The sequence below is a fragment of the Homo sapiens genome, chromosome 11 (genome assembly GCF_000001405.40).
Source record: "Homo sapiens chromosome 11, GRCh38.p14 Primary Assembly".
NCBI lineage: Eukaryota > Metazoa > Chordata > Mammalia > Primates > Hominidae > Homo > Homo sapiens.
The window spans coordinates 27963590-27976187 of NC_000011.10; positions in this window are offsets into that span (position 1 = coordinate 27963590).

Genomic DNA, 12598 nt, shown 5'->3' on the forward strand with positions numbered 1-12598 from the left:
AGCTCAAGTGTTGGAGGCCTCTGCCAATTGAAAATCAGTCAAATGTGGATAATGGCTTCTGTTACTATAATGCAAGTCTACAGGAAAATGTGATTCGATTTATAAAAATTCTATCAAATGCAGCTTTTCAGGAATTCATCTGTTGAGTACAACAAGGTACATCTGTGCTGTATTATCCAAATAAGTTCCACCTGGCAGGTAGACGACTGTAAGACTTTAAAAGGAAAAAAATGACAGGAGTTTTTACAAAGTCCTACCATCTCTGCTCACTCAATTTTAACTTTATTTAATCTGTTACACCCTCATTTGTGGATAAAGCAGAGTCATTAAATTTGCCCAAGCAACAGATATGCACTTTCATTAACAGACAGAAGTAGTCACACGAGAAAAGCTTTTCAATTGTTATTCTACAGTATGGAAAATTGGCAAGGGGTGGGGATGAGGGTGAATAGGAAAAAAGCAAGCACCCAACTGGCTTTCCTTATGAAGAAATGCATAAAATGGTGATGGAGCTGTGTAATATGAACCCTCAGAGGCTTGCTCTAGCTTCTGCAAAAATCGAGGGTTCTAAGAATACCAAAAGAAAACGAGCTGTTGAGAAAACTTGCAATTATTTTGGGACATTAAGAAGATCAAGGCAGGTTATTTAGATGTCTGGGAAAGTTGGATTTAAAGAATAAACTTTCTAGGTTGGTATGATTTTAACACACAGGATTCTTATTATAGTCAGTATTCTGCCTTAGGTGACAACATTTTAACTTTCAACAGGAGATCTCCTTCCCCTCTCCACATGCCCTGCTCATTTTTCCTCTTAGTCTCTGTGGCTTCACCCAAGACAATGTTATCCATTCTTATTTGGGCCTTTGTAAACCACAATAACTCCAGACTAAGAAGTTAGTTTCAAGAGCCAGACATCTATTTCATTATGAGTATCTGTCTAGACATTAAAGGGGTCACTCAACACTGCCTCCCATGATCCTGTGAGTTCCATGACAATAGCAGACCAACACAAGACAGAATACATATACCCCATACAACTCCCCCTGCCCTGACTAATCGTAAAAGATTTTATTTCCCAAAGAAGCAACTAGGAAATAGGGAAGCTTCTCAGTTGGTAGAAGAAACCAGTGCTGCGCGTAAAGACTGGTTTTATTTACTGAGTTTGTGGCTGTCCCTTCTCAAAGCAAGGGTGCTTTCCTGCTTTTTAGGGAAGTCCAGCATGTTCAGCTTAATTAGCACTTGGATTCATTATCAAACCAAAAGGATCAAGAGAAAGATGTCCGTTGATTGATTGTTTTTGTCCACCATTGGAAATCTTGTGCAGAATCGTTATCTATAATCAACAGGTGAAGTGTGAAAATACAACTTTCTAGCAATCATGTTAACTCATAATAGCTCCCCCTAGACATCCCTTCTGCAAAATGGTGATATTGAATGTAGAGTTTTAGTGTTGATAAGCCCATAATGAGTTGGGGCAGGGGATCAAGGACTTTGCCGCAAGTCAGAGGCTTTTGCAAGAAAATTCTCCATTCAACATTGCCATCCGAAATCCCCAGCACAACGTCTTAATTTACACATTCTCAGAAACAGTCTCCTTAAAGCACATTCTTCCCATTCCCCGCTCCACCTCCGCGAAGACTGAGGTCCCAACACTAGCACTCAGACTAAATTTTCCATGTGATATTAACGAAATACGAATTGGAAAAATATATAAAATATTCAAATTAACATTTTTCCCTTCAAAATTAGATTGGGAAGCCACGTGCTGTTTCTACTGAGGTTTCCTTTGTTCTTAGCCTTCTCCTACCTTCTTGGGAAAAGCTTTCATAGTCACTGGAATCACACAGAAAAATCATTCCAAACACCTCAGAATTCTTTTTTTTTTTTAACCCAAAAAATGGCATTTCCTTAGGTTGTACTCTTTAGATGAGATTTGGTACCTGAACATTTTTTAAATTTACAAATGTCAAATTTATTACTGAAGGATTATTCCCAGCTATTAGGCCATTCCAAAGAATATAACATAGACATTGAGGTAATTCCAAAGTTTTGAACAAGAAGATATTTTTGGATTAAGGATGCTGTCTACAGAGGTGGCTACTCCGCTCATTGGTATGCATACATTCAGGTCACATTGCACAACTACAAAGTCCTGGTCTCATTGTATTCTATGTAAATAGCTCCTCCTGGAATTTTGTAATGCTGAGCCTCTTTGTATAGCCTACTCTGTTTGGGGCAAAGTAGTCCTATCACTGAAGAGTCATTCTTCAAGTCTTAAGCAAGCATCGTTTTCACCCGTCCAAGTCAGAATATCAGACCCTTTAGGCTTACAATTTTTTTTCTCTTTAAGTACATTTTCTTCCTATGGAATCACTAACTGATGGCCTTGTTTTATTGCTAATTATTCTTTGTCATACTTACGAGTCTTTCAAGGAAATAAGAACTACCTTTTGGAGATGGTTAGGTTTTGTATATTTTTATATCACATTGTAATTTTTATAGGACAAAAAAGGCAAGGTTAGAAACATTTTTATCTGGAAGTTAGTGAAATGGTCTAGGTTAATGTTAGTCAAAAGTCTTGGAATTTAATCCTCAGATGTAGCTGAGAACTTTACTGCTGGTATAATTTTCCTTTAATCTTTTCATAAACTAAAAAAGACACATGAATAGAGATACTGGAAAAAAAATAATAAAAATTTCTTAAAAATTCAGGAATAGAAATTGTTCATTAGCTTTTCTTAAGTGGTTAGGTTTACAGGTCACATTAATCAATATTTGGTTTCATAGCAGATGTGGAGGAAGTGAAAAGTCTGGATTCCAAAAGAACCCAAGAATATGAAAAAGTATCACATTTCACCTGCATGGAAAAGAATGGAGCAGGAAAAAGGTTTATGTATATCTCAAAGCAATAATGTTGAAAAAACACAACTGAAGTCATCAAAATCACTGTTGAGAAACCAGATTTGAATAATGCTTCAAGTTTTCTTAATTAAGTTTCAACATCACAAAGTTAGGAGTAATGAATACACATCTTAGTATGTAAGTGTGATCTAGCATCCCACTTGGTGGGGGAGCACCTTTAAAATCACATAGGTAAGTGCATATCTGTACATATCTGTGCACAAAGGCATGCCTTTCATCTCTCCCCTCCACCCTGCATCTCTTTCTTTTTCTCGTACAAAGTACAAAGCTTAGCTTTTTATATATTTTGCAGAAAACCTTTTGTACCTTTTGTTCATTCAACAGATATTTACTGAACTCTCTCTGAGGGCTGACCTCTCTGCTAGGTACAGTGAGAAATATAAAGAAGAGTTTGGCAATGGGAGTAAAGAAACCCAAAATGAGGAAAACTACTAAAAATGTAAGAATGGTCTTGAAAAAATAATTTAGGGAGGGAAAACACTTGCTCCTCTGGCATCTGTTCAACCCAGGTATACTTATTAATGCCTATTGTGGACGAGATGTGTGCCAGGCAAGACAGAGCCTTCTGTTTTTACCAAACTTGAATACGTCTTTTTTTATGATAATGGGGACAGAAAGTCACAGGTAGATCTGAGAGGCATTTGGAAGAAAGAAGTAAGTCACAACCCCTGATGATGGCTCAGTAGTGTCACAGATATAAAAAAAAGTTTGGGGGGTGGTGGTGGTCTTAGTCTTTGGAGTTAAACTGCCTGGGTAAGCACTAATATTGATCAATTTAACAGAATTAACCTCATTTGTTGCTGTTACCTGAGGGGAGGAGAGTGACAAGACAAAGAGAAGAAGGAGAAGTCTCTTTTTCTGGCATCAGTTTCCAAAAGCCTAAATTCTTAAAAAAAAAAAAAAAAATTGAGATGTAATTCACATACCCTAAAATTCATTTTTTAAAAAAGTACATGATTCAGTAGTTTTTAGTGTATTTACAAGCTTGTGCAACCAACATCATTATTTATTTATTTATTCATTCATTTTTTTTGAGGAGAAGAAGAAAAGAGGAAAAAAGGTTTTGACTGAATACATCTTTCAAGGTTTTATGACAACCTTCTTTCCAAGCCCTCCTAAACTATTCTTCACTTGCATTCACAAAATCGCACAGCTGCATGCTTGGAGCCATGTCTGCCTATTTCCAATGGGGTTGACTGTGTAACACAATTACAGATATCCTACTAATAATTTGAATCAGTTGTTTACCAGTGCAGTTATTTTAAGGCTGGCTTGTGACTGCTGCTGGCAGGTTGGTGAGCAGAGGAAAACAGGAAATGAACTAAATCATTTATTAACATTGAAAATAACATATTGAAAGGTGTTGGGTCCTGGGGTAAATAGCACTTGGCTCCTGCAAATGAGGGAATGGGGATTTTCCAAATAAAGGGCTTACCTGAAAGAATTTTCCAAATTTTGATGTCATGGAAAAACACTAATTCCAAACTAATTTTAACAATTGTCGAACGTGTCCTCTAGAAGACATGTAATTACTAAGAACTATGACATGAACACCTTCATTCAAAATTACTGCAGTACTCATGCCTTGAGTATATCCTGAAAATAAAAGAGAAAGAAAATAAAAAATATTTATTCTCTTTCATGCACTAACCATATGCCTCCATATTGTGCATCTACCATATGCCAACCCCAGTCATAGATATTTTTACAAACACCATGTTATCTACATGTCACAACAAACCTCTGAGTTAGAATCACCACTACACAAATGGGGAAAAATAGAGGCTTGGAGAAGCCAAGTAACTTGACTGAGGTCTCACAGCTTACAGATAACGGAGCTTGTGCCTGACACCAGGGTCCATGTCTTTCCATCAAATTGCATGGTTGCCCTCACTCAAAGTACTCATTCCAATAAGGGGGTTTATGTTAGCAAGTAGAGCATTTTGGGATTAAAATTTGTTTTTCTAATTAAATAACAAATCATTTTAATTCAGTCTGATAAGTTATGCATTAATCAATCGTATTTTTCTTGGAATATATATTGGTATAGAGCATTGTTGGAGACAGAAAAATATATTGCTTGGGCATGACTTGCTGCCCTGCCATTTCCTTTATGCTGGGACTGTACCCTGCTGTGGGAATAAGCACTGAGTGACTCAGGAAGTCAGTTGGTAGAAAGCAAGATGAGTCTGGGAAGTTGTGATTAAAAGGGCCACGTGTTTTATTATACAGAAATAATCACACAATGATGAAAAAATTATGAGTAAGAATGTCCAGAGAAGTATAATTTATAGTGACAAAAATTTGGCAATATTTAAATGTCCAATGCAGGTGACTGGATAAATAAAGCTTGTTTGTACAATGCCAACAGTTTCAGTGCTTAGAAATAGTGATGAGTTGAAGGGCGAGGGATACCTGGGGGTTCATCATAGTATCCTGTTTTGCATTTGTATCCTGTATTTGGAATTTCCCTTTATTAAGGGAAATTAATAAGATGTTTTAATTTCATTTAATTTAAAGGCTGTTTTAAATGATGATATATGTATATTGATGATCTTAGAAATATTTTTTGTAATATCTTATTATGTGGAAAAAGCAGATTATTAAATGTCGTAGGATTTTCTATTGTCTGCATCCTGTTTTCCACCCCTTTGAAGTACATGGGAGGATTATACTTCCCTGCCACCTTCAAGTTGGTCAGGGCCATATGACCTCTTCTGGTTAATGGGTGTAGGCAGAAGTGATGTGTGTCATTTTCGGGCTGGAGCACTTAATTGCCAGCATGAGACTCTCCAGCCCTCTCTATCCTCTACCTCTGTAACCTATGACATTCCAAGCAGTAGAGCTTTTGTCCCTGAGTGAGGAAAATATCAGACAGAGCTCCCTGATGAAGTAGAATGGACATATAATTTGAACAAGAAATAAACCTTTGATATTTAGAGCCATAAGATGCTTGTAGCACATCTTGACTGGTAAACAAAATATGTAATTTCCAAGAACTCTCAGCTTGCCTCCTCTTCGTTGTCAGGTCATCATGCAAATCTCGCTTTATGAGTAAAGGCTTCTCTGACGGCTCCCAGTTGAAATTGCAATCCCCTAGCACTCTCTGTCCTCCTTCCCTAGTTTATTCTCTATAGCACCTACCTCCATTTCTCATACCATACACATTTAAGAAATAAATTCTACATAATATGAATAAACATAAAACATATAAATATGTGACATAGATATTGATATAAATATGGGTATTCTGTTTATTGTTTGGATCCTTCATTAGACTAGAAGCATCAAGAAGGAACTACCAATGCAAAGGCCCAGGAGCTAGTGTGCTGAATGTACAAGGAACAGCAATAGAGGACCAATAGAGGTGGTGAGAAGTGCATAGGTTTTGGATTGATTTCTGGGTAGAGTCAATGGGGTTTGCTGGATCAGACACCTTTCTTCAAGAGAATAAAGAAGGAAGGGTAACTCCTCAGGTTTTTAAGCCTAAGGAACTGGAAGGAAAAGACTGCTAAGACACCAAGATAGAAAAGACTGCAGGTGGAATGGATGGTTCCATCAAACCCTAGGAAATTGCCCTCATCCTCATGGCCAAATATAATTTGCCACACCTTCTAATTCTGCGTTCCTGCATGTAGGAAGAGCAGGGAGGGAAAGGAGGTGAAAGACATTCCTTTGCATTTTAAGGGCACACTTCCAATGTTGCTCATGTCTTCCTTTCACTTTTTTTTTGGCTAAAACTTCGATACCTGTTTTCAAGGGTGATTAAGCAATGTAGTCTTCATCTGGATAGTCATGAACCCAGCTAAAACTTGAGTGTCCTATTACCAAGAGAGAAAGGAAGAACACATACTAGGGGACTACTTACACTCTCTGCCCCATCCACTGGGTATGTTGCTTCCCCAGCCAGCATCCAAACACGAGTCTTCTGAATCTTACTCCAATGTTCTTTCTCTCACAAAGATCTTCTTCCAAATGGTCTCCAATTGTTTAATCAGTGAAGAATTTATCACAAATCCTATCTCACTAACGCCAGATGGAAAACTAGCTCAAGTAAGAGACCTAAGTCAGCTTCCCATTCTCTTATCCAACAAACATTACCTGAATATCTATCATGATCAAGACCATATAATAGGAACTATGGGAAAAACAAAAATTAGCAAGATGTAATCCATGTCATCAGAGCTCCCATAAAATAAAGTTGCAGAGGAAGAGAGAACAGACATTTATACCATGAACTCTAATCAAAGACAGAATTAAATTAGAGCAATAATAAGATATAAGCAATATGTTATAAGGGTTAGGGGTACTAGGTAGACTGTGGACATCAGAGGAGTTATTACAATGGGCTAAAGAATGAGAAAGATTTCAGTAGACCCACAAAGGCTAGGAAGGGCATTGCAGTCAAAAACACAGATGTAAGGGAGAAAATGCATGTTGAATTTAAGGAATAATGAGATGTCCAGTGGACTGAGACATCACCCAGTATACATAGAGGGATGTAACATGATATGAGGTTGGAATGATGGGTTGGAGTCAGATGGTGACAGCCTGAAATCCCTCATGAAGGTGTTTATACTTCATTTTGCAGGTGTTGAGGGGCCATTTAGGGTTTGTGAATTAGGGAATGACTAGATCTGACTTTGGTTTTTTGGGCAGGAAAAACAAAACAAAACAAAACTACTCTTGCTGTGTGGTGGATTAGGTGAGGAGAGACTGCTTAGAGAAAAATTATTCCCCTACCCACCTTTGGGAATGTCTGCCCCGGAGCCTGTCAACTCCTCACTTTTCAAATAAATGGGTCCTCTCCTGAGCTTCCCAAAATGTCCTGGACTTCCTGGAATTTGATGACCTTCACTGTGCCAATATGAATCATTCTCCACATTTATACTGAGCTGAGAACGTGGAGACAGCAAAAGAATCCCATTCAATGCCTGGGGAATTATGGGATCTAAAGGTATGTGTCATAATGCTTGGGCGAAGTTGTGGTCCTGGGCAGCTTTTCTACTGAAACTCACTTAAAAAGTCAGAGCCTGTGGGATTTGACAGATCATCTAGTCCAGTTATAAATACTGGGTCCCACAGAGGTGAAATTATTGCCCAAGACACAAAAATTCAGGGCCAGTGCCTAATATCATGGACTGCATCGTCCAGTGTTTATTCACTAATCCAAATCACAGAAGATCCTCCTCACTCAGTAGAGTCTCATATCCACACTAGTTTGGGCCCAGCTCTTGGACTAGAGTGGGCCATGAAAAAATGAACAAGTATTGTTTTTAATAGCTACACCCAAATTCAATCAAAGCTTGCATTTTTCAGGCCTAATGACATTTGATAATCATTAGCACATTTCCTGTCAAATTACAGAATCATAGTCTCATAAAGACTTTACAGGTCATCTAGTCCAATTATACAGTGTTCAGAATTCTATAACTTGACTTTGTGAAAGGTATAAGCATTTGAGTTAATTGTTGCCTTGGGCCAAAGAATAATACAATGTATTAGTTACATAATTTATTCACTCATAAAAGGTGGAGGGAGAGGTATCAAAATAGACCCAATCCTCAAGATGCTTGCAGTCTAGTAAAATACCTGTATATTTCCTTAATTCTTTCCTCTATTGCCCTCAACATCCTTGTTATTGATTTAGCCTGCTTGGCAATTTTAGCACTTTGTCCTGAATTTGTTCAACAGCCTGAATTTGACTGTAGGAGGAAGTAAAAAGAACGCTATATGCGGTATGGAAATACCTCTCAGCTGCGTTTTCTCCACCCCACAGCATGCAGCCCACCTAGTGCAAGCATCTGCTGAAGCCCAAATTGTCATTCTGCTGGCTGTGTTTGCTGGAGAAACTTCCCCCAGCCAGGACCAGTAATCATTGACAGGCAATATGGAGACCCTTGACAGGGGCTGGAAATAAATTGCCTTGGTGAAAAACAAACCAAACCTTAGCCATAAATTACTCTGACAATAGCAAGTGGAGAAAACCTGGTTCACATAAAGATCTGTTTGCCCCATGTTAGAGTGTCCCATCTTCCTGGGGCTAAACCCCTGGAGTGAGTCAACCACTCTTACCACGGGCAGACTTTCTGCTCTTTGAGTGCCTTTTCACTCTTCAAGTACATACTGGCTGAGACAGTGTGTACGCTCCAAAGATAGAGCAAGCACTTTAATAATAGTAATAAGCTTGAGCAAAACACTTTTCTGTTTACAAAGTTCTTTCTCATTTATCATGTTCTCACTGTGGGGAGTAGGAAATAACTTGCAGTTGAGGACAGGATGTGATCAAGGTGTCTCTGCTTCTCATCCACCATGTGATACCAAATTCCACTTTCACAAAGTTTTAGATCATTAGTCACTTGCTGCACAAAACAGTTGTGCAAAGCTAGTCAACTTAGAGAAACCCAAGCATCTTACGATCTGTAACTCCAGGGCCGTGCTATCCAGTGCAATAGCCACTAGCCATCTGTGCCTGCTGAGCACTTGAAATGGGGCCAGGGTGAATTGAGAGGTGCTTGGACGTATAAAATGCATACCAGATTTTGAAGATTTAGCATGAAAAAAATTTAAATAATATATCCTTAATAGTTTTATATTGATTATTTTTCATATTGAAAAAATAGTTTAGACATATTGAATTGAATAAAATATATTATTAAAATTAACCAAGTGTGGTGGTTCATGCCTGTAATCCCAATGCTTTGGGAGGCTGAGGTGGGAAGATTGCTTGAGGCTAGGTGGACAAGACCAGCATGGGTAACATAGTTAGACCCTGTCTCTACAAACAGCTAAAAAATTAGTTGAGTGTGATGATGTGCATCTATGGTCCTAGCTACTTAGGAGGCTGAGGCAGGAGGATAGCTTGAGCCCAGGAGTTCAAGGCTGCAGTGAGCTATCATCACGCCAATGCATTCTAGCCTGGGTCACAGAGTGAGACCCTGTTTCAAAATAAATAAATAAGGCTAATTTTACTGTTTCTTTTTACATTTTGAAATGTGACAACCAGACAACTTAAAGTTACATATGTGGCTTGCATATATAATATTGCTATTGAGCGGCACTTCTCTAAAGAACTGTCTGGAAGTGAGCTAGTTCTAGCCTCCTTAACTCCTCTTTAATTGTTAAAAAGACATGATTCTCCCCAGCACGATGGTGTTAGAATCACTTTAAAAGGATCTAGGAAATAGACGGGCCTTGTCCAAATGAAGTCTTGACTGTTCTTGTTCCCTAGATTGGGAATGAACTCCAAGGCTCCGAGGGAGAAAGGAATAGACCCTTTTCCAGGGAAAGAGTCCTCTGTGAATGTCACTGCCTTGAAAAAAAAAAAAAGCCATACATGAGCTATTAAAGGCTCTTCATATCATCAAAGAAAAAGAAAATATGGCAGCCACATATGACTACAAGACTAAAATCTGAGTGAGCGAGGAAGTCAGCCAGCTCTGTGATCACCAGGACATCCAGGAATTGATCTCTGGTCCAAGTTACCCAGCCTAAGAAACATGCAACTGGGAAAACTAGGAAAGAGCCTTCCTCTGGACATCTTTATGTTACGACAAGTCTCTTGGGCCAGCTCAGATGAAGTCATTCATAAGCAGTCCTTGGCACTAGACCTTGTTTAATTCCATGGCTCTGTAGGTCTTCCTTCATAAACTGCTCTTTCTGTGTCTACCCATTCCCCAGTCAGAAGCCTTTAACACCTAACCCAGATCAAGTCCTCTACTCAGACCCTTCCTGCGGCTACCTGTTAGCCTCAGAGTAAAGGCCAAAGCTCCTACACCAGCCCACAGACCCCACGTCACCTCCCTGACCTTTTGTCCTACTCCTCTCCTGTGGCTCTTAACTCCTGGCTGCACCTCAGCCCTGGCTTTTCCCTCTGATGAGAACCTTCTCTCATATATCTACATGGCTAACTGCTTCATTTCCTTTAAACTTTGTTTAAATTTCACTTTCTTAGCAAGGCCTCCCTGAACACCTATTTAAAATTGCAACCTGACCCCACTGCACTTCCAATCTCCTTTACCTTCCTCTGTTTTTTCATTTTTTTTTTCTTTTTCCATAGCACTCGTCACCTATAAGTGATACACTATAAAACTTACTTATTCATCTAATTGTTTGCTATTTCCCTTCACTAGAATATAAGTGTCACAAGGGCAGTCTGTTATTATGCATTTTGTTTATTGACATATTCTAAGAATCCAGAGCAGTGGGAGGTTCTCAACAAATTTTTTTTTTTTTTTTTTTTTTTTTTTGAGATGGAGTCTCACTCTTGTTGTCCAGGCTGGAGTGCAATGGTGAAATCTTGGCTCACTGCAACCTCTGCCTCCGGGATTCAAGTGATTCTCCTGCCTCAGCCTGCCAAGTAGCTGGGATTACAGGCATGTGCCACCATGCCTGGCTAATTTTTGTATTTTTAGTAGAGACGAGGTTTCACCATGTTAGTCAGGCTGGTCTTGAACTCCTGACCTCAAGTGATCCTCCCATCTCAGCCTCCCAAATTGCTGGGATTACAGGTGTGAGCCACGATGCCTGGCCTATTTTTGAATAAATGAAAGAAGTTCTGTAATGTCTATCATCATTTTTAGTCCTGTCATTACTTTCCCAGGCAAACATGTATCACCTGGTACTAGGAACACCCCAGTAGCATCACACATTATCTCTACGGCATGCACACCTTTCTCAGTCTCATTCAACCAAGCCTCTTTCTATGCCTCCTTTCACAAATCCTCTAGATACTTGCTGCTATGGTTTGAATGTTTTTGTCTCTTCAAAATTCATGCTGAAACTGAGTTTCCAGTGCAATGGGAATAAGAGGTGGGGCCTTTAGGAGATGATTAAGTCATGAGAGTTCTGCCCTCATGAATGGGATTAGTGCCTTACAAAAGGCATGAAAGTGGCTTTTTTGCCACTTCTGCCATGTGAGGACACAACATTCATCCTCTCTGCAGGACACAAAAACAAGACGCTATCTTGGAAGCAGAGAGCAAGCAAGTCTAGCAGTGCCTTGATCTTAGACTTCTCAGCCTCCAGAACTGAGAGATATAAATTTGTATTATATATAAATGACCCAGTCTAAGATATTTTGTTGTAGCAGCAGAAATGGATGAAGATGCTTGCCAACCAAAGTTAGTAATATGTAAACCTATGGCTAATGCTACAAATAGTTTATGAGGGAATGCTCTACAAGTCTCAGAAGTACAGCTCTTTTACTATGGAATATTTAGTTATAAGCCTGCAGGTAATGGAGAATCATTGTAAGCTCTTTAGTAAGAGAGAGGTGTGATAAAAAGTGATGCTTTAACTATTTATTCTTTTCAATTCTTCAGGGCAATTTTCTCAGAATCAATTTAGGTAGTCATAAAACAAACCAGTTGGTTTACATTATCTCAGATGTTGCAGGAATGACTTCAATGAATTACAGTTTGATTGTAAACATGAAGCATTTTTGCAAAGACCTTTATAAGGATCATCTATCTGATGTCTTTCACGACATTTAAAACTTTGTGTCTTTCACAACATTTAAAACTTCTTTGTCTGGTCACCAATGAATTATAAAATAGCCTACATGATTTTTCCTACCTTAAAAAAATAGTATTTTTTTTCTTCTGCAAAGGAACAATTTAGCATTTTTTTTAAATCAGGGGATGGCAACAATACAATCTATTTATTTTATGCTTTA